We start from the raw sequence: 27,982 nt of genomic DNA, 5'->3' as shown, positions 1-27,982 counted from the left end.
AGATGCAGGGCACCAAGTCCCTAGGCTGCACACAGCTCTGGGACCCTGGACCCAGCCCAGGAAACCATTTTCTCCTAGGCCTCCAGGCCTGCAATGGGAGGGGATGCCATGAAGACCTCTGACATGCCCTGGAGACATTTTCCCCATTGTCTCGGGGATTAACATTCAACTTCTCATTACTTATGCAAATTTCCTCAACCGGCTTGAATTTCCCCTCAGAAAATGGGTTTTTCTTTCCTATCACATTGTCAGGCTGCAAATTTTCTGAACCTTTATGCTTTGCTTCCTTTATAAAACTGAATGCCTTCAACAGCACCCAAGTCACCTCTTGAATGCTTTGTTGCTTAGAAAGTTCTTCCGCCAGATACCTGAACTCATCTCTCTTAAGTTCACACTTCCACAAATCTCTAGGGCAGGGGCAAAATGCTGCCCAGTCTCTGTGCTAAAACATAGTAAGAGTCACCTTTGCTCCAGTTCCCAACAAGTTCCTCATCTCCATCTGAGACCACCTCAGTCTGAACTTTATTGTCTACGTCATTATCAGCATTTTGGTCAAAGCCATTCAGCAAGTCTCTAGGAAGTTCCAAACTTTCCCACGTTTTCCTGTCTTCTTCTGAGCCCTTCAGACTGTTCCAGCCTCTGCCTGTTACCAAGTTCCAAAGTCACTTCCACATTTTCGTGTATGTTTTCAGCAATGCCTTACTCTACTGGTACCAATTTACTGTATTAGTCCATTTTCATGCTGCTGATAAAGACATATCCAAGACTGGGAAGAAAGGGAGGTTTAATTGGACTTACAGTTCCACATGGCTGGGGAGGCCTCAGAATCATGGCAGGAGGTGTAAGGTACTTCTTACATGGTGGTGGCAAGAGATAATGAGAAAGAAGCAAAGGCAGAAGCCCCTGATAAACCCATCACATCTCCTGAGACTTACTCACTATCACGAGAATAGCAAGGGGGAAACCACCTCTATGATTCAAATTATCTCCCACCAGGTCCCTCCTACAACACATGGGAATTATGGGAGTACAATTCAAGATGAGATTTGGGTGGGGACACAGAACCAAACCATATCACCTATTTTGCTTTATTTGGGACCTCAAGTCATTCATTCTCATCTTTGGAATTTTTTTTTCATGTGAAATGAATAGATTGCTATCTTGGTGAGCTCCTTTACACCTGAAAATTTTATTCTTCCAAACCAATCCATGGAGGAAATTCTGTGTTTAGAGAGATGGTTCCCATTGATAAAGAGGCAGTGGACCCATTAGTGTCCTTCCATTCAGCTCAGTGGGAGGTGTTGTTCTGAGGTCTTAACTCTCCTGAGGTAAAACGTTTAATAATGAAAGCATGTAAAAAAGGAAAGAAAAATCATTATACTTCTGTGAAGTTAAAATGTTGAAATATTTTCAGATGTAGAGAGAATAAACAAAAAGCAACACCAAACCCATCTGCTCATCAGTGGATCGTCATTTAAAATAGAAGCTGGCTTTTTTCCCTTCTGGAAAGCCTCACACGATAAACACAATGAACCGGAAATGAGCAACCTTGGATTTCATAGTGCTTCCATCTTGGCAAAAGGTGCCCTCTCGTGCTCGATTTGGCAGGTCTGGACTCCAGCAAAAGCCAGCGCTGAAAATAGTTCTCCGTACACTTCTGAGCGCTCCCCCGTACTCCCTGAGCCCGGATCACACATAGCCTCGTGTTATGCTTCTGACTTTTGAATGCAAAGACAAAAAAATCACATGAATCATTGTAGTTATTCAAAGTTTTTATGTGTTGAAAATCTTTCCTCCAATGTGCTCTGAGAAGTTGTATGGCGTTCGTAAACAAAAGCTGTGTTAAAAGAGCCAGGCGTTTTGCATGTCTAGTTTTGTTGGTGGCTGTGCCTATCATGGTTGGGGCAGTCAGTTTCTTCTGCCAGATACCTGAAATTATCTGGGAGCAGTGGGGCAGACCAGGGAAATTTTTAAATTATTTGTTCCATCTTTCTCGATTTGTTCATTTAAAATCATTCTTATCTGTTGACAAAAGTAGATCCTTGGTAGCTCTTCCTGGTGGTTCTTGGTGTCTTACTAAGTCTACTCTATTTGTAGGTAATACAAGTTTCATTTATATAGAACCTAGTCAGATATTTTACTGCTTCAGAAAGTCCCGCTTTTCAAGCTACCTGATGAATTAACCTGGTTTTTCTGCAATCATTTGTATGTTTCCTGTTTCCATCTTACTCCTATCTTTATATAACTTTTTATTTAAAATACTCTTGCAGAACTTAAAATAGAACTACCACACCAATTCCATTACTGGGTATATATCCAAAGGAAAATAAATCATTCTACCAAAAAGACACATGCACTTGTATTTTCACTGCAACAACGTTCACAATAGCACAGACGTGGAATCAACTTAGGTGCTCATTAATGGTGGATTGGACAAAGAAAATGTGGTACATATACGTGATAGAATACTACACAGCCATAAAAAGAATGAAATCATGTCCTTTGCAGCCACATCTGTGCAGCTGGAGGTCATTATCCCAAGCAAATTAATTCAGGGACAGAAAACCAAATGCATGTTCTCACTTAAAACTGGAAGCTCAGCATTGAATACACATGGACATAAAGATGGGAACAACAGACGCTGGGGGCTGCTGGGGAGGAGGGAAGGAGGGGCATGTGAACTTAAAAACTACCTACTGGGTACTGTGCTCAGTACCCGGGTGACGGGGCCACCCATACCCCAGGCCACAGCGTCATGCAATAGACCCACGTAACAAACCTGCACATGGACCTCCTGAATCCAGAATGTTTTTTTAAAGAATTTAAAAAATTAAAAAACCCTCTTGCACCTGGCCTCGGTCAGCACGCCAGGACTCAGGATAAGAGCAAGGAGTGGTGCCATTGCCCTCTGTGTGCTGTAGAGAGAGAATGACCACGGCAGGGCCTGAGTGTGTCTTGAGTGGACCGCGTAGAGATGGTTTATTGTGAGCTGTTAGGACTGAGAGTCCTTTTAAAGATCCTGCGTGGCTGCTCTTTGTGGGTCGGCGTTCCCTTTGAAATGGATTTGCTGCATCTGACACACCTTCACATGCGTGAGGAGCTCTTTCTTCTCTCTGAATGCTCTATTAACTATTTAAAAGTTCTCTCTAACTTTTTTCAAAACTGGGAAGTTCCATCTCTAACTTTTTTCAAAACTGGGAAGTTCCCAGACTGTTTCACCACGCAGCCAATGGACTCGAGGCTGCAAGCTTATGCCACCAGGCTCTGGAAGAGAACCTCGGTGTTTACGGTCACGACCCTGGCAGTCAATGGGAGTAAGTGCAGCAAAGGCCGGTGAGGCCGGAGCCACAGAGTCAGTGTGACAAAACCCATGGGGCTTTGCAGTGGCGAGCTCACTTTGTAAAAAGTCAGCTGCAGCCTGACCCAGGGGCACATTCTGCAGGGAGGCACCTGGATGCCTTCCTCAGCAGGAATTTATTCCTGGGTTTGCTGTTGATCTGTACTTTACATAGACAGCAGTACGTCTTCCTGCATCAGAACACGTGCGCTGGGTCTTCTGTCCTTTACGTAGAAAAAGATAAAAATCCCCCTGCAGACCCTGCCATCCTCTTCAACCTAGGTGCAGCAGTGGACCCTCTGTTTTCCCTGAGTTTGCACGAGGGTGCTGCCCGTCCCTGAATGTGCTTCATAACACGAGGTTCTGGAAGCTCTAACCAGAGGTGGTGAGCGCCTGCCCTGATGGAGTGCCCTTCTCGTGACAGGGCAGAGGAGCTGGATTTGTGCAGGGTCAGTGTTGTCTTTGAAATGGACTTTCTGCATCTGATGTGGCTTCCCACAGACCAAAGATCTCACCCTCCTGCCCTCCCTGCACCGGGCCATCCCTCCTGTCAGTGAAGGAGGGCTCCCGAGAGCTTCTGGGCACCCCGGGAACCCCAGGCACACTGTCCTCATGGTGTGGGGTGGGGCTGGGCATGCAGAGGAGCCTCTCCTTTCTCTTCCTTTCCTGTGCTCCGCTCCCTCTGACCACGCAGGGGCTCCCTGGGCCCAACCTCATGAGCTGCATTCCTGCATTTCCCCTGTTTTCTTCTTCAGCAGGCAGGGGTAGACCCGAACGTGCAGATTCAAGGGGAGCAGAGGACGTGGGAGCTGCTCTGTCTCACACCCTGCATGAGGGTAGAGACACGTGTGCCGTTGCTAGTGACGCGGGCTCCGTGTGGGCTATGTTCCTCTTTGCTTGTGTCCCCCAAGGACCCTCAGTGAGGGGTCACAGGCAGGAGGAAAGGGGGCCTTGCTGGTCCAGGTTCAGCCACCCTGGTCCCCTATCCCCAGGCCATATGACCAGTGGAGCGTGGAGGAGCTGTAAGCCCATAACTAGGGCTCTGCCACAGGGCAACAGGCAGGGAAAGCAGCCGGCAATGAGAGCTATGTGAGAACATCATCCTAGAGTCCTCAGGAGGGTTACTGTGAGGAAAGAGCTAAATACGTCACCAGCCACTTGTGTGGTTTCTGCAGAAATTGACAAAAGTAAACATCCCTTGGCTTAGCCAGCCTGAGAGGCCACCAGCCACCTTCCTAAACCAATATCTGTTTATTAGTGTTTGTTTTATAACATGCTTTCACTCTTTTCTTAGAATTAGTAATCGTTCATGTTTATGTTGGAAGTTTGAAATCGTTTCATTCTTCTTCTCAATATTTATTGGGTAGCTAATATATGGAAGACATTGTATCAGATATTCCAATTAGAGAACTGGAAAGAAAATTAGAATCCCTAATCAATCCCACCACTCAGATACACATATTTAATATCTGGGGACATTTTGGTTCTTTCTTGAATTTATATCTATGTAGGAGTTTTGCTATAAAATTAATAAAATTCTGAACATAGAATTTTGTGTTTAAAATGAAACTGAGTATTATAGTGTATGTTCTCGTGTTATTAAATATTATGAATGCATTTTATTTTATATATAATATTCTGTTGTTTGCCTTTATTAAGACAATATAGAAGATGTAAGGGTTTTATTCCCCCCACTGTTCTTCACTATAAATAATGCCAACATGGCACGTTTACACAGAAGTATTTGTCCCTGGCTCTGATTTTTTTCCAAAAATTCTAAAAAGGAAGTCAGTTGTTTCAAGATTATGATTTTTGATACAAATGCACCAGATTGCTTTCCAGAGGCCGTTCAAGCTGCGCTCACACTGGCATTTGTCAGCAAGTCGTCACCACGCTCAACGTGGCAAATGTTAGATATTTTTATTCTCAACATTTTAATTAACTAGATAGGCAAAAAAAAAAAAAAGTCTCTCACCTATCTAATTTTATTTCTTTGATTACTAATGAGACTACTTTAAAGAATATATTTCTTGGATTTTAAATTTCCCCCCATGTAACTGTGCATTTCATTCCTTTGACCACTGTTTATTTTGGAGTGCTAGAACGCGCATGTGCGTGCATTCATGCACACACACGCCCAAGCACACACTATTTTGTGGTTCTCAATATTTTCTGTTTGTCATTGGCTTTTTCATTTTGCTTACGAGCTTTTAAAGTTCAGACGTTTTTGTGTAGCTAAATCATTGTCTTTCTGCTGTTGCTTTTAGGGTGAGTTCTTTGCTGTTCGGGAAGCAGCAACCTCTTTGCTGGTCTTTCTTCTAGTTCTCTGTGTTGTGTGTGTCAGCGTTTAACCTTAAGCCGATAGAAGATGTTTTGGTATCTGATGGCAACTGGAGAAGGACTCGATTTTTCACCTGATGAATTTCATGGCAGTTTCCCCGGTATCCCTTATGGGTTGGTCCCGCGCTTACTGTTTCCTGTGTGGAGTGCTTCGGTCTCCCAGGCCTGCTGGGCATGCGGGGCCGGCCTCATCGGTCCTGGGGTGCGTCCTCACCGCACTGTTGTGACAGTGCAGATTCACAGCATGGTTTAGCATCTGGCAGTGCGACTTCTCTCTCACGCCTTTATTTTCCCAGAATTCCTATGCTATTCTTTATTATTTCGTGTAAAGTTTAGAAAAAGTTTGCCATTTTTAAATTCCTAAAAAGGCCTCTTAAAATTTGGATTTAAACTGGGTTAAACACTATTACAGTGAAGAGAATTAACATACTCAGTCTTCCCAGCCTACCTGTCTACTTATTCAGATCTACCTTTGTGTCTCTGTAATGTTTCCCTTTGCTTTTCTGTATACCCTTTAGTTGTTATTTTTAATATTTTAATATTCACTATTAAATATTTAGGAGTAAATCTTTGAATGTTGTCTGGTTTCCCTGTGGCACTCACTGTCATGCTAATTTTGATTTATAAGCATGGAATTTATGTGTGTATTTCTTTTTGTATCTAAACCCTGTATTATTAGATCTGCTGTATTTATTTTAGTTTATGCTGAATATACAAGCATACTGCCTTAGAGCTATATTTGTAGTTCTTATTTCTATTTCTGTGCTTACTTCATTTGCTGAAATGTCCAAGAGTTTTAAGTATTGGTGGCAATTTCTTATATCCTAAGTTTAAGGGTTTTTGTTTTTGCAGGTGAAACACATGAAACAGAAATCAATGCGTTGTCATTGGTGACCCTAACATCTGACTGTGGGGAGTGGGTGCAGCTGTCAGAAACAGCTTCGGGGCATGCAGGACAGTGGAAGGGGAGCCAGGGCCCATTGCTGACCCATCTTGTGCCTCTCTTTGAGGAGGCGGTGACTGCCCATGTTTCTCCATACCGGGGTGCTGCCATTTTTCAGTGCTGCTCCCCGAGGGTCTGGAGCTATGGCAGGAAGCTCCTGGGTCTGAGACCACGTAGTTGCTGTTACACCCTTGGGGTTGCTGCAAGAGGTGACAGGTACTCAGTAGGCTTCTTTTGTGGGAACGTGTCCCTTTGTCACCCTCATACTGGACAGCCTCTCCCTTGGATTTATATGTGTGACTTGCTGAACTTTCTTTCAAGTGATAATTGTCTAGACAGTACTTTAGTTCAGAGTTTTAAGACCTGCAAAGTGAAAATAAGACATCTCTTCTGTGAATCTTGTGATCCTCAGCGCAATGGCAGGGGTTGAAAGTACAGAGTGAGGCTTTTCTCCTGGGACTGTAGAATTGGGATGTAAGTTTCAGTGCTGGCCAGCAGTCCTGAAGGACGAGGGGAAGACGCTTTGCAAGGAATCGGCACCAAGTCAGTACAGGGAGATGTCCTATTCCCGAGGGGGGTGTCCTTTGAGAAGTGTTCTGCCATCCTTGCTGTCCCGAATCACCGTGCAGAGTAAGTATAGTTCCCAGAGGGATCACAAGGACACAGAAGTCCACAGCTCCCAAGGTGACCTTGTCTGTGGTCCGTGCAGCAGCCTACGATGTGGCCCCTGCCCATAGAGGAGTCCTGGGAGTGACCAGAAAGACCCCTCATGAGAGCAGGTCCAGGGAGAAGGCAAGAGGGTGGTGAGAATGCCTGGCCTGGAGATTTCCAGGGCGGCCCCAGCAGGGACCCAGCGAGGGCAGAGGCATCCGATGACAGGCCAGGGCCTTTCCCAAACCACCCAGAAGGTTCTTCTACAGAAAGAGACACATACCATGCAAACATCTGAGATGCTGCAAGGGAGCCGAATGAAATGGGAGTAAACATCACTTGGAAAGCGGCCAGGGCAGGAACAGCGCTAACCTCACGTGACGCCCAGCCCTCGGTGCCTCCCTGTGGAGAGGTCGCTCAGAAGAAAACCCGCCATGGAAGACGGGAGGAGCAGAATGGGCCAAACCAGGGCCAGTCTCAAGGCCCCTGCGGGGTCTCAGCCCCTGTGGGTTGAAGATTGTGCCAGTCCTTGGGGAGGAATCCAATGGAAAGGGAATAATTATACGGGACATGCTTGTGTCTGTACCCATTAACTTAGAGTAAACTTGCATTTTTTTACTTACAGACTTGTTTTTTTCCCAATACCCTTCTTTGTTATTAAATCCAGAATATAATCTTTTGTATACGTTTATTAATGTAAGCTTAATTTTTAATACACTTTCAACTACAGTATTTGGTAAAAGAGGAAAAAAAAGTACTTGTTCAAAATCATGAAATCAGGAAGAAGCAGAGTCTAGATTGATACCCAGATTTTCTGATTTAAAATATCACATTATTTGCACAAAACGCACTTGTGATTTGCATGTTTGTTTTCTAGTTTCAGTAATTATGCCACATACATTCAGAGATGGCTTTGGGCCTGTGCTGGTCACTAGCTATGCAGGGACAAGCACAGTCACCTCCAGGGCAGGGCTCTGCCTGGTTAGTGGGGTCTCCGAAGTCTTATGTGTTTCAGCCCCAAAACATGGTAGCCAGTAAAAAATTTTGCTTTTTTTTTTTTTTTTTTTTTTTTTTTTTTTTTTTTTTTTCTGAGATGGAGTTTTGCTCTTGTTGTGCAGGCTTAGAGTGCGATGGCGCAATCTCGGCTCTCCGCAACCTCTGCCTCCCAGGTTCAAGCAATTCTCCTGCCTCAAGCCTCCTGAGTAGCTGGGACTACAGGTGCCTGCCACCACGACCGGCTAATTTTTTTTGTATCTTTAGTAGAGACAGAGTTTTGCCATGTTGGCCAGGCTGGTCTCGAATTCCTGATCTCAGGTGATCCGCCTGCCTAAGCCTCCCAAAGTGCTGGGATAATAGGCGTGAGTCACCGCGCCTGGCCAAGTAATAGATTTTGGATTCAATTTTCTTTTAATGCAGTCCTCTGAGAACAGGCTTTCTTAACATGGCTTCTGTGGATGGGTCTCAGGAATTCCAGACAGTCTGTGACAGATTTTATGTGGATGTGCATGTGTGTGTTTTTCCAGGAAGAAAATGCCAAGATTTCATGAAATTCTTAAAGATTCCTGTCACCCCAAGAAAGCTGAGGCCTGTGGTGGGCATCCAGTGTCCCCTTTTCTCTTGGTTACGAGAGCAGGATGTCCAAGGGCCGATTCTGGGGCTGGCGGTGGAGGTATTTCCTCTTCCATCCTAGACCTGAGACAGGATGTTTCCCAGGAGGAGGAGCTGCCAGGCGCAGAGGCTGCACTGGCGTGCCCTTGGACTTTGGTGGTGTGCTCTTTCCCCAGGTGAGCTGGCTTTTAGATTCAGAGGGAAATAGGTTTCTCTAATCCATTTTTCTGACAGGCCCTTGGGAAACGTAAGCTTAGCACGGATCGCTGGGGAGAGATGGAACCTCTTGTCTCCTGCTGGTCTAGGTAATTCAGCTCGTTCCATGGGAAGGGCATGGGTTTCCTCCGAACAGGTTTTCCAGTTTAGACTGAGGGCCGAGCATGTGCTGTGATTTATCTCAATCCCAGCTCTGTTCGAAACCCCAGCTCAGTTCAGTGATACAGTGAAATGCACATTGGGCTATAAGCAAACCAGTCCGCTGCCGATTTACTACTCTCTGTTTTAAGCTAGTCCCCTGGGCAAACATTTTTCTTAGAAACCTGGTACCGTGATGTGTTGTCATGTGCCCATAGTTAATCTGTCCATGTCTACTTCTTATGTTAAATTAGATCCCTGGGAAATTAATCAAAACTTTGGGTGTTTGCTCCTCCCTGACAGCTGCTCTCACGTGGCCACTCATTTTTCCTTCTGGTTTTTTAGTGACTCACGTGAACCTCTGGGTTACTGTCTCCCTATTAACCATGGGTGTGTAGGGATGTGTGGAAAGTGAATCACAAGGTTGAGTCGAAGTATGTGGTCTGCATGGGAGGACAGGCAGGGCTGCAGGCTCACGGCCAAGCACATGTCAAGGATTTGGATTTCTCAAATCCCACTTAGGAAAGAACATCCGATTTGCCACCATGGATGTGACTCATGGCCGATTAAAGGGTGCTTTTGTGGGTAGCAAGCAGGGTGTTCTGCGGAAGGGCAGCGAAGGCCTCTGTGTTTGTGATGTCTTCCTGGGTTACCTCAGTGGCTCATCATGGATTGTTTTTTGCCATTAATTCATGTGACCCATTCTGGAAGCTGTTTTCAGCGTATTTGCAACTCTTTGGGCTAAGAAGCTCCTTTAGTTCACATTTGCACCTGCGACGATGTAATGTAGGGTTTATGGAAGTCACTGTGTCCGAGGGAAAATCCCTGTTGCCAGCTCTGCTTTCTGTGATCCTGCCACAGGCACAGAACAGTGTGGGAGATGAGACCTTCAGCTTTGCGTGGGCTGTGTGATCTCCAGCCAATCACCCAGCTTCCCTGAGCCTGTCAGGTGCAGGAGTGGGGCTGTCAGGGACTGGCTCAGAGCTCATCCCCGCCCCTCTAGCAAGGGTAGCTCCTGGCTGAGAGACCTCAGGGCCAGGAGTGGACAGAATTGCTTCCCTTAAGAGGCTTGGGGAGATTCCAGGCAAGGGTGGGGAGGTGTGAGAGACCCATGGGCCTGTGCAAGACAGGCTCCGCAGACCCAGCATGGACTTCCAGGGACCATAGCATCGCATGGAGCTTGGGAGAGGGCCACCCCCTGCACCTGTGCAGAGCTCTGCTGCCTGGAAGCCTGAGCCTGGTGCTTCAGAATCATCTGGAGACAGAACCTCTGGTGATGTGGTGGATGGGCAGACCTGTGGCACCAACAGTGAGGTTATTGAGGTGACTGAGGTGGTAGCCATCCATCCCTCATTCAGACATGGCTGGCAGGGCTCAGGTGTCCCTGCCTGATACACTGCCTACGCCTGTGAAGGGGCCCTTTGGAGATGCCAAGGAGCAGCCTGGGATTTCCAGGCATGTTCTGGCATATTCTGGCAAGGACACCGATGTAGGCTCTTCCCCATGTGGTACAATCATGAAGAGGAACATGGCCTCCCCTGCAGTAGCAGCCTGCGCCCAGCCAAGGCCATCACGTCCCAGGAGCCCGGGAGTAGGTCTGTTCCCTTTCTGTACACCCTAGGATGTTCCCTGCTGTCACACACCTCACACTGAACTTTGAAGATTAATTCCTACATTTTCATCTAGGTTTCCATGACACTCTTCCCATTCTTTATTTCTATCCCAAGTTTCATGTGTCTCTTCTCCTGAAAAGTGGTTATCAGAACCACATGGCAGTTGTCCACGAAGATGGGAAGATGCTTTTTGTTTTGTTAGAAATGTCCTCCTGTGATGTCGCTGCCTGGCAGTGCTGGCTGCAGTAGCTCCTAGGCGTAGTGTCTCCTGAAATGGCCAGCGGTGACCTCTGCATCCATGTGGAGTCCCGAGTGCTAGCTGATAGCTCGGTCACACTGTCTTCCAGGCCATCGGCCGTCCTGTTGGCCCACACAGGAGCACCCCTCCCCAGCCACAGGCCCCAGGTCCAGGCTCTGTCCAGTATCAGGCTGAGCCCCACTGGCCCAACAGCTAGCTCACTGGCCCCCGGTGTCCAAGACCGAGTCAAGTCCACACTGGGATTGGCTGAGTCTGCCACAGGACCTCGGCACCACTGAAGAGTGTGGGGTTGGCTGCAAGTGAGGCGGTCACTGCCCAGACATGGACCACATGGTTCTTGTGGGGACAGCTGTTCCCTAGCGTGGATGGCACTGTAGGCAGAGGCAGCCGGGGCCCAGGCCAGCCACACCAGCAAAGCCTGCAGCCAGGTGCCAGGGAGGGCGGACCCCTGCATCCCAGCACAGGCTTTGGATCCCGGGGTCTGATGAGCTCAGTCAGTCCCGAGGGAAGCTGGAGAAATGGCTGAAGCACACCGCAGAAGAACAAGCTCAGGGCTTCGTTAAAGCCAGCCCCCACCGCCTCGCTGTCAGCACCATCTCAGCTTAAACAACGGGCCTCTCTCCAGTGTGAGTTTAATGGTTTGGAATTGGCGGTGACTTAAATCACTTGGGATGGGGAAAAGTTGGAGAGCCTCTGGTTGCATAGCAGAGGCCGAGCACTGGCCCCAGCCTGCTCTTTTCTCCCAGGAATTTCAAGCCAGACTCAACAGGAAGATGCAGGAGTGACTTTCAGCCCAGCCATCTCCACTTCGCCAAGTGGCTCTTGGTGTCTGCCTTATTCCCTCCTGGCTGTAGACTCTGAATGGGGAACCACGTGAACACCTCATAAGGGTAATTAAAATGACCATTTTAAAAACACATTCATGGCCCACAGATGACGGCTCAGACATATAAGGGATCACATGTCCTAAAGCTCCTGCCCGCTCCCTGAAGCACAGGGCCCTTGAAATGGGATCTGGCCACTGAGGATGCTTCCTGAGGACTCTCAGAAAGGTGATGCTGCCGCAGGGACACGCTGCAGCCCTCGACCTTGATCCGTGGCTCGGGAGGATGAGCAAGGACTTTCCCCCATAGAAAGTTCCCAGTTTTTCTAGACTGCGTTATTTGTGTATTTGGAAAACAGCTGTTTTTACAGCGTCTGAATGAGAGCTCCTACAACAGAAATAGTCAAAAAGCTTCACATTAAAGAGCAAGTGCAAGATAGATGCCTAGAAGAGGGCCCTAGAAAAGGGAAATTCAGACTGAAATCTGTCAACTGTCATTGTCATTTGCTTCAGAAACTCTTTAACATTGGAGATGAGAAAGAGAATAAAGGGGAGGCGTGGGGCGGACAGGGAATGTCTTCAGGGTAATTTGGAAGAGCGGCACAGAAGCTGCTTGTGAGTGGCAGGCCCTCTGCAGTGCAGAATGTTTAGGCTGAGGGGGAATCTGCCCCAGAGACTGGTGGGGAGAGGGAGGCCCCTCCAGTGTCCGACTGACACTGGGAACCCTGGAAACAGGTGGGCCGAGGCTGTAACTGCCAATTAGGCAGAAACGGTAAGGATTTGACACATGCGATGTTCTGGGCACTCTTGATCGAATGATGCGGGTGACAAGCTTGGAGTGAAGACACCTGGAGGAGGAAAGAACTATGAAAACTCAGCCTCACTGCTTCACAAAATGGATTTTGCATTTTCCCGGGAAATGTTAATAGGCCGCTTCTCTAAGTAAATATATTCCTGAGGAAACACAGAGCCTGGGACATAGTTTATTATCCACAGCAGGTTGTCCAGTATTTCTGCAAACTGTTCCTACTCAGTGAGCAAGGAACCGCAGTGCTGAAACATTGGCAGCGCTGACATCTGACATCTGCCATTTCTTCATGCTGAGACACGGAGTAATCGTCTCCTCTTTCCTGCCACGTCCAGCTGCGTGTTGAAAGCCCGTAATTTACAAATAGGTAAAGCTCATTTGTAAATGGATGGCAAACATGAGAAACTTTTTTTTCATGCAAACAATATTATAAGCACTGATATAGATATGAAAATCATATACATCTTACAAACAATACCCTAAAGGTCCAGCCCATAAAAGCTGAGTTACTTATCAATTGCTGAAATATTTAAATTGGCTTAAATATTTTCTTCATAAAATCCATCAATGTCTTTAAGCAGATACCTTGCCCACAAGATCTGCCTGGGGTGGGAGGTCTTGGCTCCCTCTGGCTGGAGTTGGGGGCTACCCTGTGTGGAGGGGAGAGGGCGGGTGGGGGTGAGTCTGGTGACTGGTCAGCCGCTCAGATGGAGTGGGGGCAGGCACAGCACTCAGGAGGCTGAGGCTGGGCATCTGGGGGAGCCGCAGCCCCTGGGGGTGGCAGGGGGCATCTGTCACCAGGAGGAAGGAAGAGGCGGTTCTGTGCAGGAAGAGGGATCCCACCGCTGGCGGCGAGCCCAGGAGACTGGGAGGAAAAGCCGGGAACAGGTGAGCTGCGGAAAAGAAGGAACAGAGGCTGATTCCGGGTTGGCCCCCGCTCCTCCGAGTGCTTCCCGCTGGGGCCTCTCCCAGCTCCACCCCATCCCACCGGAGGATGCCTTCTCCATCTTCCTTCTCCAGAGACACAGACGTGGCGGTGTCTCCACTACCCCGGAAAAGCCACCAGGACCCCTTGTTGTCTCCAGAATAAACTTCGTCCACTCCCACCCTCCAGTCATTGCAGGCTGGATCTCTTCCACACACTGGAAGGGACTCCAAGGACTAAAAGCTAGAAGAGCTTGTGTTTCCCACACTCAGGACCCTCTGGACTCCTGTTGTGACTTGGATGTTACCTTTTGCGCTGTTCCTCGGTCTGGCTCGGCCGCCTTCTCAGTCTGTCCCGCCGGGGCGCCTGTCCTTGTACCCCTGCTTCTGCCCCAGTCATCCTGCCCACACATCCCAGGCCCCCTGCACCCCCAACTTCTGGAAGTCCAAGTAGCCTTCAGGGCTCAACTAAGACACCTCGTCTGCAAAGCCCCCAGCCCCCATCGTGGCCATGCTGTCCCATCCACCAGCTCAGCATCTTGGATTAACTTGGTGTGTCCCACCTGGAGACTTCCAGCACCTGGGATAAACCTCTTCTGAGGCTGTTTCTTGGAATGTTGGAAGGTTATGGGTAACGGGTTTGTCTTTCCCGCCAGGTTGAGCCTGAGGCAGAGAAAGGGTCATACTTTGACATACTCAAGGCTTAGTAGCAGCCGGGCTCTTAGTAGGTGCTTAGGACCAGTTTGGGAATGAATTTTATTGTGCTTGGCAGTCTACCTATTTAGTTTATTCCTTTGTCACCAGAGTCTGAACTCCTTGAGGGCAGGGATTATAAATTTTCATGTTTCTCTCAACAGAGAGCCAGAGATGGTCATTACATTCATTGATTCTACGTGTGCTATGTATGTATGCACATAGAAATGCATACTTAGAGACTTGTATGTATACATGGGTGATACTAACAATAATATAAATAATAGGTAGTGTCTGATCACCAACACTGGTTAATGCCATCTCTGCATTAACTCCACGAGGTAGGTACTGTGATCACGCCATTTTACAGAGGCCCAGGAGACTAAGCAGCTCTCCTAGAGATGCAAAGTGAGTAAGTGGTGCTGCTTGGAGTGTGCCTCTCAGATGGTGGATTTTGCTTTGAAATCTATTTGCCTCAAGCTGCGTGTCCTGTATCCTGTAGGAAGTCTAATTCCTTCTCTAAGGACTCTGAAAATATCCAGGGCTTATAGTTTCGGGTGACTGTGTTCCTCCCTCCCCAGATCTCTAAACATGAGCCAGCAATGCCTCCCTCTCCGCCTGCTTTGAAGATTGAATGACATAATGTTTGCAAAATGCTTTGCACAGTGCCTGACATATGCGTGCTCAGTACGCCCTCACTTTTATGACCTTGGCTTCTGGTGGCCGCTCTCTCCTCCCTCATGCTGTTTGGTATGAAAGCCAGTTGCTTCTCTGTGATTGCTCCAGAGCCTCCCTCTCAAAAATCTCTGTGTAAACCAGGCTTGTCCAACCCGCAGCCCATCGTCTTCTTCTTCTTCCAATTCTTCTTCTTCCAGTGTGGCCCAGGAAAGCCAAAAGATTGGACACTCCTGGTGTAAACAGACTTTTCCAAGGCTTTGGGGCAGGGTACATGTCAACTGTGACTACAACTTGAAAGCAAGAGTCAAGCAGCCTAGTTCCTAATACCCCTTCAGCCGTCTTGCCTGCTAGAAACTGTCACAGGTAAGCACTGACCCAGGACTCCCCCCACAGAGTCAAGCAGATGAGAGAGTCGAGGGTGACTCCCAGAGTGGGCTCAGCAATGGGGAGGGGGTGGCAGTAGGGGCACAGAGCAGCAGTCAACGATGAACCATGCTCAACAGATTTTCTTCTTTATAGGAGGGAGGGAACCCATTGGCGGGGAACGAGCAGGCCTGGGAAGGGGGACAAGCTGAAGAATGGTGGAGGGGAGGAAGGAGCAAGACCAAGTGTTCAGGGTATCGGGGACAAAGCAGGGACCTTGAGCTGGGCACAGGGTCTCATCCTCCAAGGATGGAGGGAAGGTCTTGAAATGGGTGGAGATGACAACACATTTGCAGGTCAGGGCTCCTGCCCGCTGGCCTTCCAGGGTCTCCTGAATGAGGTGTGTAGGGCTCCAGGGGGAGTGTGTGTGCACAAGTGCACCCAGGAAACACACCTCCAACATGGAGGAAGGTCGTTTATATGATTGTTCTTGCTACTGGAAACAGCCCTGAGTTTTTTGTTTTAATGGTGGATAAGTTGAACGCTTTTCTCTGATCAATACTTGCAAAAAGCTTGCTTTATTTAGTAGGGGTGTGGATTACCAATGCACATATGAGTGAATGGGATTAGTCTCAGGGAAAAAAAAAAACACCATGTTGGGCTAAGAAATACGCCCCAAAAGGACCGTGGAATGAGCCACTTGCATGAGAATAAGTGACCATTGATAGCATTTCTTTTGGTGTATGCTTGGGGAAGCGTTAGGGAAGAATAAAAGAAAAAGCAAGAGTGTTGTAAGAGGGGTGCAGATTCAGGGGTAGGAAGCCAGTCCTCCTGTTCACTTGGTCACGTTGCACCTGCATCCTCTGCCCAGGCCACCCCCTCCACCTGCTGGTGCCTGCCCTCCCTCCCCTCCCACCAAGCGGGGCCTTGGAGTTTCGCGACCACCCCATTTCTCTTTTTTCTGCTGTGATTTCCCGTCACAATGGGTGTGTGTTTTGTGATTTTCCTTCCTCAGAAGCCCCCTAAGCATATTAAGACCCTGGTCTCCTCTGAATTCTGATCACATATCTTAAGCGAAATGTATGGAATGTGTCATTGTTCTTTATGCTGCATTCTGGCACTGTGCTTGAGAACATTCACTGTCAGGAAAACAATTGTAAGCCTCATTGGAATGATAATTTATCTTCATGTCTGCCTTCATTGTGTTTGGTTATTATTTATTGTATTGCAAGGTACTTGTTAAGACCTTAAAAGAAATATGAAGACTAGTTGTTCTTTGAAATAAAAACCAGTATTTCATGTAAGCGCATTGAAATATGTGCTTGGAATCCCAGGAACTGGGCCCATTGGTGATAGAACCCTTCCCCTGCAGAACACAGAGGGCCAGAAATGCATGCCCAGCTTATTCATTGGTGGCTTCTTTCCATGGCCTATGAGCAGTAGGTGTGGTCTGGTGTGTCTGCTGTGTCTGGTACTGTCCTGACAGTGTGTGGTATGAGATGCCCACTAGACTCACATCTCAGTCTAAATCATGCTGATTTTGATGTCATAGTGCTAGTGTCAGGGAAGGTCATGCGGTTTGCATCTTTGTAAGTTCACATGTGTATGTTTTCCTGGTTTCTTCTTAAATGCCATTAGAAGAAAGGTGCTGAGAGTTCTTGTAAAAATGTGGATCTTTAGTTGTGGCATAGATTTTTCTCTTTTTGGTAACATTTTAAGAGGCCTCTTGATATTTGTCTGGGGATAACTTGACTTTCTTGTAATATATCTCTATTATTTCCTTAGGTTGCCTAGACTTTTCTGTACATCTAATATATGGTATAACATGTTATTAAAACTTTTTTTTAATAACACAGACATAAAAACACAAAAGCTGATTTTTCTTTCATTCAACAAAGGTGACAGTGAAACTCTAAGGCCAGACCATATTACTCAATTCGGATTCTGGATAGGGGAGAGTTTAGGAGGCCCTGCTTATCGTTTTTACTCATACAAGTTACTGAAACTTACTCACCAGTCCACTGGGGATGTCTTTGGACATATGATACAGTAATTTACAGCATGGTCATTATTAACTAATCCTTAATAAGAGAAGCATTCATCACTTAGCATGGTGGTTTCTGCCTCATTTGGCTTGGCTCTGATGTGATGATTTTGGCATTCAGGAAGTGTCGGAAGGTTTGCGTGTTTGGCTGGTGCACACTTGAAGGATGAGGCAACACTGACAAAATTCGTATGTCATGCATCCTACCCATGTATTTTCTCCTGTTACATGCCTCTATCCCTGTGCATTGAGAAAGAAAATGCAGAACTCTTTTCCTCTACTGAATCCCTTCCCACACTGCCCACTACAGAATGATACGGTAGTTCTGGTGTGTCATATTCCATGTCTCTTTTCCTCTACTGAATCCTTGCCCACACTGCCCACTACAGAATGATACAGTAGTTCCGGTGTGTCATATTCCAGGTCCAAAGCCTCCTTCTTAACCCAGATCTAATCCTCATGAAGAGATGGAGCATAGCAAGTTTATGAATATCAGGAGCCCACATGCCTTTATTTTAAATGGCAAAAAATTACATTTTCCTAGCTCAACCCACTCAAAAGCACAAAACCACAAAATACACAAATACACAAAAACTCTGAAACTCCAATATAATCTTTCAAGAATTTCTGCCTCACATAAAGCACTTGAAACACCAAATGTTTCCTCAAGACTGAATTTACCTTCATAGCAAGGATGTCAGAGCTTGTGTGTCATCATGGGTTCACGTGTCCAGCCAGCACTTGTGATGCTCCGTGACTGTAGACTTTCTCCACGGTGTGGGCTTTATTAGGCCTCTCGGATCCCTCACTACTTCTCACGGTTTGCCACTTTCCTGGAAAACCTTTTCCGTTAACAGCATGGGGCCACCAACAGTGATGTTATAAGCACATTTACCGCCCCACTTATGGTCGCCATCCTGTTGGAGAATGGCTGAGACACCGCTTGCCTCTCACCCTCCCCCTGCCCCAGCCCAGCCTTGAGTGTTGCCCTGGGCACACACTGCTTGGGATGCAGATTAATGTCATGTGTCAACTTGGCCACACATGCACAGATATTTAGTTAACCCTTATTCTGGGTATGTCTGTGAGGGTGTTTGTGGATGGTTTTAACATCTGAGTCACTGGACTGAGTGAGGCAGTTGCCCCCTAGATACGGGTAGGCCTCCTCCACCAGCCAAAGTCTGAACAGAGCAAAGGGGCTGGCCCTGTCCCAAGGAAGAGGGACGCCTCCTGCCTGACAGCTTGAGCTGTGACATTGGTGTTTTCCTGCCTTTGGACTTGAACTAAAACATCAGTTCTTCCTGGGTCTCTAGCCTGCTAACTGGAGACCTTGGGACTCGTCAGCTTCTATATGTGTGGGGGCTGATTCATTCTCTCTCTCTCTCTCTCTCTCCCCACATACATAGATGTAATACACACATACACATCTTTATATATACATACATATATATGTACACACCCCTATATATATACACATACAAATCTATAGACACATACATACACACCTATATATACACATACATACACACCTATATATACACATACATATATACACACACACACACACCCCTCTGTATATACATATACATCTCTATACACACCCACACCCACACACATACACACATATCACCTACTGGTTTTGTTTTTCTGAAGAACCCTGACATACACTGGTGTAACAGGCTTTCTATTTGGATGGTGAACTGGGGCTAAAATGTTTTGCAAGTTGTTATGGAAAATATTAGGATAGTGAGGGTTCACAGAGTGAGGAAAGTCTGTATATAGAGACTAGAAGGATTTCGAGTTTCATTTTGAACTCTGGATATTTGCCTGGGAATAACAACTTTCTTGTAATTTATCTGTATTATTTCTGTAAGTTGCCTGGACTTTTCTATATATCTATTATGTGGTATAATACTTCATTAAAACATTTTTTAATAACAGACACAAAAACACAAAAGCTGATTTTTCTGTCATTTGACAAAGGTGCCAGAGAAACTCTAAGGCCAGACCATATCACTCAATTAGGATTATGGGAAGGGAAGATATTAGCATAATTCAATCCATTCATTTCTCTCAATCCCTGTAAACAGAACTTCAGGTTAATTTGGGTTGAGGCACAGCTCAGTGGGAGAACAGTTCATTTTCAGAGTGACCCCGGCCACCTGACCATTGAGTCTGTGGGGGACGTGGTGGCCAGGACCGTGTTTATGTCGATTTAGGTTTTGGGCGTCTTCCCTGCGGGCTGTTCTTGGGAAGCATGCTCCGCGCCCACGGTCCTCACCCCGGCAGGAGCTACCCTCTGCGCACTCAGGCTGCAGCTGCCTCTGCCTGTTGGCTGGGTGGGAACTGCCTGCCGTAGATCAGGGAGGAACTTAGCAGAGAGGGGGAGGGCATGTTCTACTTTGTGCCCTCTTGTTCAGCACAGCCACTTGGCACTGGGTAACAGGAAGAGAAAACGTGTTTGGCGAGGCGGGATGTGATGAGTCAGCCCCGGCTAATGCCCCGTGGTCTGGTTGCTGGCATGCAGGTTTCTTGGCACTTGCCTGAGAACTCGTGGACTTGGCCAGAACACTGGACACCAGCTACACACTGAGTCCACGCCCAGCATACCAGCCTCTAGCGGGCTTCTAAATCTGCCTGGGTGAAACAATAGAAAATGTTCATTAGGGGATTGTACTTTTACAAAGACTGCCCTGACAAGTTTTTTTTGTTGTGTTTTGTTTGGGTTTCTGGTGGAGCTTACTGGAAGGCTGTGGGTGGCCTACCTAGAATAACGACGCCCGATTCAGACAGCTGGACTCAGAGGGATTCTGCTCCACAGAGAAACAGTAACATTACATTCTCTTTGGGGTTTTATTATTGTGGTGGGAAAGGAAGGTTTGTATTATGTCCTGTGTTCCTTTGGGTGTGCCAGTTGCCCACCTCTGTACTCTTGAGTCTATTCCAGCATGACTTGGTCATCTTCATTCCTATAGGTTAGTGGTGGGATTCTGCTGTCTTCTCAGGAGTAAGTGGTTCCCAACCACAACCCACTCACATAATTCACTTTCTTCTGTGATGAAGGGTTAGTGTGCTTACAAGGCCAGTTGACTCAGAGGTGGAGATTAACATGGGTATCTTTCAGTGGCTATGGGAATGACCATTTCTAACATGTCAGGTAGTAGGGGGAAAAGTCATTAGGGACTTACAAGCCAAGAAAAATGAAAATGTAGTAACATCTACAGTCAGTCGCCTGTGGAGCTGAGGAGTTGGTGTGAGTGAATTTGCACCCAGTGGGTGAGGCTCTGTCTGAACCCGAGCAGAGAACCCCAACAGGTAGGGCCTGGAACAAGGACTCTTGCACAGGAGAGAGCCACCTGATTTCCTGCCCATCCAGGACTTTGCAGAAGAGAGAAAGAGGGTCCAGGAACAGGCTATTCACTGCTCCCCAAAGACCAGCTCCAGATAAGTGCATATGGATAACCCCTGGATTACAGGAGAAATAATCAGAAATTGCATCTTCTTACCCCAGGGCTTCTAGCCGTGGCCCTTTCACTCCAGTCCTGAGCTCACTGCCCCAACTGTTTTCCCCCAGATACCCCACTTAGCAACTGTCACTCTAGGATTCCCCATCACCTCCACCCTGGGCCATCCTTCCTAGAGCAGCATCCTCTAGTCTCCTTCCTTTTCCCCACAGTCTGCCTAAAGTATATTTTTACCTATAAGTGAGGTGACAGCAGCCCACCTCTCTGATGACGCCCAGATGAAGGACCTATCTGGGTAGGGAGAAGGATGCTCTTGTTCCATGATGATTCTGTGTCACCTTTCAGAATGATGAAACCTCAAACATGAAAGGTGACTGGGAAATGTAAGCGTAATAGGTTCTTTGCCCGATGCACACAGGAGTCAGTACACCGAGATACTGGGTTGCAGCAGAGAAAGAGGCTCAATCGTAGCATCCCTGAACGAGGCGATGGGAGAAAACCTCAAATCCACCTCCCCGAGGAATTTGGGCTCAGGATTGTGGCTTTTGGAGTGGCTGCAGCGTGGAGATTGTTGATTTGTGGAAGAGTACAGGGTGACTTCGTGGGACAGGGAGAGGAAGAAGCTATATTCTACACCAATGCCATTCCTCTGTGGGGGTCTTCAAACTGGTTGCTGGAATTCAGGGTCTGAAAAACATCTTAAGTGATCCTTAAACAAAAGCTTTATGGCTCCAAGGTCGGAGAGCCCAGAACAATAGGGGTGCAGGTGGTCAGTGTCTAGAGCTATGTGACTTTTCACAACAAGGAAGTGGGCCAGAGTGCGGCCTGATGAATGCTGCTTAGAACTGTATTCCTGTCCAGAAGCCAGCGTGCAATTCTTCTCACCCCTGTCACTTATGAAGAGATGCACAAATAACCGTGACTTGGAGGAGTCCCTTTCCCATTGTAAAACCTACCACGTACCTGGGAAGAAAACAGATTTACCTGCTTAGGATGTATGTTCCTGGTTCAAGCTATTGCAGTGTCTTTGAGCCCAAATTGCTAGAGAAATCATCAATTTTTACATTGGGTTTAGGGAACTGATGTTTTCTGCTGTCGCTTGAACAGTATTCTAGCTCTGTAGAGAAAAAGTATAGAAGCAACAATTTCCTAAAGTCATCTCAAAATCAGGTTTTGTAAATTACCAATTGACCTTTGTAAAACTGGAGACATTTTTCATGCGGTGGGCAATCTCTGTATTTCTGACTTGCTGTGGAGTTGCTGGTCTGGGCAGTGTCTCCTCACATTGACATCAGAATTCTCATCATAAGTAGGCCTTTCCTAGGGATGGAAGGTCAGACTTGTTTGCTTAGAAAAAAACAAAAAAACAAAACCCTTTCAGACAGCAGGTTGGTTTTGCCCCCTGCTTTCAGGCTGCAGTGGAGGAGGATGGAGTCCTGTGCTGGAGTGGGACCCCCACCCCCCCATGGCCACCCGCGTGCCAGCCGCGAGTTCTCACATCGCATCAGACCTCGTGACTTAGGTTTTGTCCCTGAATGTTTCTCTCTGTCCCCACACAGGATGCACATCCGGAGCTGGGAAGAGGAATAGAAAGGGAACAGAAATTCCCGTGGGATTTTTATTCAGCCAGCAGCTTCTAGTTCCATGGTTAATTCTTCTTTGCATCCAATGTTTACAACAAAAGGAGGCAGGTTAAGCTTTATATCACATTCAGCTTCATAAAACTGGCCTGACAGTCTGGGAATATGTTAGTCTTAAGACTTGAAACAGAAGCTAAAATGCTCACGAACGAGCAAAATTTTGCAGATCTCTTACTTCTGGGAAAGGGGTAGCAGTCGCTTCTCAGGTCATCATTATTTGAAAAGCTCTAAGTCTAATAAGAAAAATATGTCACTCTGTGGGAAGAAGTAGCAGAAAGCTGAACTTACGAACTGCATCAGTTGCTTCAGTGATGGCAGCACCAAGAACTGCACTAGAAAATTCCAAATGTTCTTGCCTGGACAGACAGATAGACAGATACACACACAGGGTTTGGTGCAGTTTCCAGCCACTGCCTCGGGGTAGCCTGTAGGTGAGAGCTCCTTCTGAAATACGCATACTAGTTTCCCATGAACAGACTTTGACCTAACTGTGTATTTTTCAGCAGGGCTAAGTTCTGAATAAGATCCAAGAATACGGATGCAAATCTCGGTGGGGATTTGCGCTAATGTTCCAAAGCTGTCATTCTGAGAAAGAAGAGCAATTTGGAAACATTTGAAAACAGATGATAGTAGGCTGGCTTTCTTTTTTTAACGTATCAGCTTGTAATGGGTGCAGAAATTAGCCAAGTCTGTTTAAAGCAGTGCCCTGTGTTTGGCTCAGCAATGGTATCCTCTAACAATGGGATGAGCCGCACGTGTGATAATATGTGAGCATTGAGTCAGGGCTGACTGGCCCACGTCAGAGCCAGCAGAGAAAGAGGGCTGGCGGGGCGGGTCAGTGAGTTGTCTCTGAGTCCTTCCCACTCTGCCCAGTCAGTTTGCTACTTGGGAACACCACGAGTGGGTGCCTTTTTTTTTTTTTTTAAATGACTCCTGTTTCTTTCCCAAGCATTTTCTTGCATTAAGGAGTTTAAGGAAAAAAAAAAAAAAGTGGGACTAAACATGAGTAAGTGGAGGCTGGGCATGGTGGCTCACACCTATAACCCCAGCATTTTGGGAGTCCGTGGTGGGCAGACTGCTTGAGCTCAGGAGTTTGAGACCTGCCTGGGCAACATAGTGAGACCACCATCTCTACAAAAAAATACAAAGAAAATTAGCCGGGCATGGTGTCACTTACCTGTTGCCCCAGCTACTCGGGAGGCTGTGGTGGGGGATCTCTTGAGCCCAGGGAGGTCAAAGATGCAGCGAGGGGTGTTTGCACCACTGCACTCCAGCCCAGGCAACAGAGTGAGACCCTGTTTCAAAAATAAAAACAAAAACCAAAAATGAGTAAGTGGCTAAGACACATGCTGCCTCCAGGGTTTGAGTTGAGCCTACCTTGAGAATTTTACATTCAGCAATATTATATAAGTGTGTGTTCATATGCTAATGATAATAAACCATTCAGATGTCAAGCTGTTACTAAAACCTAGTAGATCAATGTCAAAGCTAGACTGCAGAATCCGTAGAGAGCCATTGCACACCTGTGGCCATTGCCAGGATACAGCCCACATTAGCCTCCAGGGACCAGCGTGGTTATCGGCCCATCCCTGCTATGCCACTGAAAAAGAGCTGGTCGTTTTTGTGCATAGGAAATGATAAACTTTTTACTTAGCAATTCGGAAATAGCATCCTCGATGCATGGGTTTCCTAACCAAGTTTCCAAATCCTTTTTTCTAAAATAAATAGTGGACTTTTTGGCATGTGACTGTGAGAGCTTCAGAAACCTTTTGGGATTGTCTCCTCCATCACTGAAGTCTCTCCCAGGCAAGGCGTGTGGTCCAGATGCAGAACAGGACACCTGCAGTTGGGGGATGTGGCCAAGGCATTTTACCAAACCTCAAGCTAGGGTAGATTTAAAAAAAAAACTTTTATAATACAATTTCTTTTGATCTTGAACACTTATATATTGTGCCAGTAATGGCTTCTGGAGTGTAGAAAGTTCTCAAGCCCACATCTTTCGCCACACAGAGGGATTGGCTGTCATCATGTGGGTGAGGCCATGCCACTGGGTGATTCTGCAGCCTGGCATTTGAGCAGGGCCTCCTGGGGACCGCCAAGCACCGCTCTAAACCATTTCACAAGTTTTCATCGATTCCTTGAACAAAGACTGAGGAAGGATGGTGCCAGACGCTTTGCGAGGTAGGAGGGGATAAGCAGGCATTAGTACAAAATGTGGCCTGTCCTGTGGGGGGTCAAAGACCTGTGAAATTGAGAATTGAGACTGTATTTAATCCATGCACAGCCCCTGAGTTCCCCTGTAAGTGTTCATGGGGTCAGGGAGCTGCTTTGGAGCAGCACTGGGTAACAAGGATCTCTAGGCGGGTGAAATCCACTAGGTGTGGGTCTTCAGCCTGTCAGTCTGTGCTGCTTGCGAATGACAATGGAAACGCTGATAGAATTAAGCTGTGTCGGAAGGCGGTCTGCAAGGGCATTGTGCTGTGTCAACGACTTCAGTTTGTCGCCTCACTTGAAATACCCTATCTGTGCCCAAGACTGTTCGGAAATCCGTAATTTGTAGCTCATATTGGCAAAGCCTACCGCATGTTTGCATTTCAGCAGTCAGCTTAATTCCATTCAAGTTATTGTTCTGTGCCAAGTCCTTCTTGCTCTCACCATTCTGCAGGCTCAGGGATGGAGGGTGATCAGGTGCCTGGTGGGCTGGTGAGGCCGTTTCTAAACTTTGCACCATATCTAATTTTTTTTTTAACAAAATGCTTCATAATCTTTTAGAATGCAATAACTAGGTTAGTTTAAAAAGAAAAGAAAGAAGGATGGCTATTTAATGAACTCCTTTGAATGAGGTTTTTGTCCAAAAGTTTCATCTTTTCAACAGTTTTGGAAACTGCTAAATGATGATCTGCACGTTACCTCTGACATCATTGAAACCTAATTCTGGAGTGTTGATTGTTTTTCGTAGGGCTTCCATTCGTAAGAATCGTCAGGATAGGAAATAGCACACAGAGCAGGGGCTGCCACATGCCACATGTCTTCTGAAACTCCACTGGCCACATTGGAAATCCTCTCTCAAGGAGATCCGGAATGATCTACTTTTAGCAGGAAACTGAAAAAGTAGTTAGGACCAGAGAGTATTGCAGAAGTAGTTCTCTTCCATTGCCCCAATTATCTCATTTATGCATTGGAGAATACCATTCACATTGAACCTTCCTTCAAAGATTAGGGGAGCATCAGTCCAACACACACATACATTACAAAAGAGATGGTCGCTGGTTTTGCTTGAGTTAATCCTAAGGACTTTGAAAGAAAAAAAAATTGAACCCTTCATATTTATGTCTAGAAAACTACTTAATGTAAAAGAAATAAATGTATCACACTTAACTCAGTTATCTAATTAGTGTTACAGAGAGTAGTACCTAATTTCACGTTCTTTTTTTTTTTTTTTTTGAGATAGAGTCCGGCTCTGTTGCCAGGCTGGAGTGTCGTGATCTCGGCTCACTGCAACCTCCGCCTCCCAGGTTCAAGCGATTCCGCTGCCTCAGCCTCCCGAGTAGCTGGGACTACAGGCGCCCGCCACCACGCCTGGCTAATTTTTTGTATTTTAGTAGAGACGGGGTTTCACCGTGTTAGCCAGGATGGTGTCGATCTCCTGACCTTGTGATCTGACCGCCTTGGCCTCCCAAAGTGCTGGGATTACAGGCGTGAGCCATCGCGCCCAACCCTAATTTCACTTTAAAACAAGTTCTTTTGTTTGTCAGTTTCCAGTAAATTGTTGCCACCCACCCCTAGAGACACCCACCTCCCAGGAAAAAATCTGTGAACTGCCTCCCTGACTGCCCGCAGTGCTGGGAAGTGCATGTTGCCGTCCATATTGCAGGCGTCCATGTTCGCCATCTGTACCCTGATTGGACATTCCATGTTCATGCACGGGAGGAATCTGTGTGTTGAGTATAAAAAATGTTAATAGCTTTAAAAATATTGAGTCCTTCTTTTTTTTTACCAATTAATAGGTTTATTCTTTGATCCAGAAATGATATCCAAATTGTTTTCCATTGGCTTCCATTTTTTTTTCCCTTGCAGCAAGTTGTTTGATCTTATTTGCTTTTGAAAACTCACAGTTAATTTTGCCTGAACTTTCCATTATAGTTCAGTGCAGCTGAATAGGATAGCAGTGAGTAAACAGAGGGAATGTCGCATAGTTTATCATTTTAAATGTCCTTGTATAGAAACTTGGCCAGTTTTCTATTTCTGTATAGGAAATTCAGAAAACAAAGGGGAGAAAATTAATCATTTATATTTTCTAATACTATCACTTCTAATATCTTGACGTATTTTCCATAAATATTTTTCCTACCTTGTAAAAATGTCACGGTAATCATCATATACATGACGTTTATTTTTCTGCTTTCTTTAAATCTTATAACAAAGCTCTTTCAATATTGGCAAATAGACTTAAAAATCACTTTTTACCATTTTTAAAATTTTTAAATGATTATAGAGTCACAGGAAGCTGCAAAACACGTGGCAGAGGTCCTTTGTGCTTCAGCCGGGCTCCACCTTGTACAACCACAGGGCAGTATGAAAACGAGGAATTTCACATTTGGTACAATCAACAGACCTTATTCGTATTTTACCAGTTTTACGTGTACTCGTGTGTGTGTATATGAGTTCTCTGCAAATATATCACATGTGTAATCTGTGGCAATACCATCCTGATGAAGATACAGAACTGTCCCATCGCCACAGATATCCCCCATGGTACCCTTTTATGGACACACACACCCCCCCAACACCAACCATCCCTCACCTCTGGCAACCACTAAACTGTTCACCTCTATAATTTTGCATTTCAAAAAATATGTAAATGGAATCATACATTGTATAATCCTTTGAGATTTGCTTTTTTTCACTGAGCGTAATTTTCTGGAGATCCATACAACTTGTGACTAACAGTAGTTTGTTCCTTTGCATTTGTGTATAGTATTCCATGATGTGATGTACTGCAGCTTGTTGAACCATTCATTCATTGAAGACCATTTGGGCTGTTCGAGTTTTTGCATCACAAATAAAGCTGCTATGAACATTTGAGTACAGGTTTTTGTGTGAGCTTAGTTTTCATTTCTCTGAGATAAATGCCCTGGAATACGTTTGCTGGGATGTTTTGTTTTGTAAGACACTGGCCAGACTGTTTTCTACAATGGCTGGAACATTTTATATTTACACCAGCAACGTACAAGGTCCAGTTTCTCTGCATCCTCACCGATGTTTGATGTTTATCACTATTTTTTTATTTTAGCAATTCTGATGGGTATGTACTGATACTTTATTGCGGCTCTCCACTTCTCTGATGACTAATGATATTGAGTATATTCTCATGTGCTTATTTGTCATCTGTGTATCTTCAGTGGTGAAATATCTGCTTGTCTCCCCCATTTTCTAATGG

General features: G+C 46.2%; 1 protein-coding gene across 8 annotated transcripts in view, besides 3 other annotated features; it reads left to right on the top strand.

Moving 5' to 3' along the window:
- RPS6KA2 (ribosomal protein S6 kinase A2) overlaps window positions 1-27,982 on the top strand; it is a 453,410-nt gene that overhangs the window by 285,793 nt on the left and 139,635 nt on the right. The gene's annotated exons all lie outside the window — the stretch shown is intronic.
- Window positions 3,807-4,696: an enhancer, noted in NCBI's record as "H3K27ac-H3K4me1 hESC enhancer chr6:166985773-166986662 (GRCh37/hg19 assembly coordinates)". NCBI's record gives its function as "activates a minimal SCP1, AML or CMV promoter by ChIP-STARR-seq in primed H9 embryonic stem cells {active_cell/tissue: H9 hESC(primed)}" and the evidence as "EXISTENCE:reporter gene assay evidence [ECO:0000049][PMID:30033119]".
- Window positions 11,391-11,928: an enhancer, noted in NCBI's record as "H3K4me1 hESC enhancer chr6:166978541-166979078 (GRCh37/hg19 assembly coordinates)". NCBI's record gives its function as "activates a minimal SCP1, AML or CMV promoter by ChIP-STARR-seq in primed H9 embryonic stem cells {active_cell/tissue: H9 hESC(primed)}" and the evidence as "EXISTENCE:reporter gene assay evidence [ECO:0000049][PMID:30033119]".
- Window positions 24,706-25,280: an enhancer, noted in NCBI's record as "NANOG hESC enhancer chr6:166965189-166965763 (GRCh37/hg19 assembly coordinates)". NCBI's record gives its function as "activates a minimal SCP1, AML or CMV promoter by ChIP-STARR-seq in primed H9 embryonic stem cells {active_cell/tissue: H9 hESC(primed)}" and the evidence as "EXISTENCE:reporter gene assay evidence [ECO:0000049][PMID:30033119]".

This window comes from Homo sapiens, chromosome 6, assembly GCF_000001405.40.
Source record: "Homo sapiens chromosome 6, GRCh38.p14 Primary Assembly".
In the NCBI taxonomy this organism is placed as follows: Eukaryota; Metazoa; Chordata; class Mammalia; order Primates; family Hominidae; genus Homo; species Homo sapiens.
The sequence above is the reverse complement of the archived record's forward strand: the minus strand, read 5'-3'. Positions and strand labels throughout refer to the sequence as shown.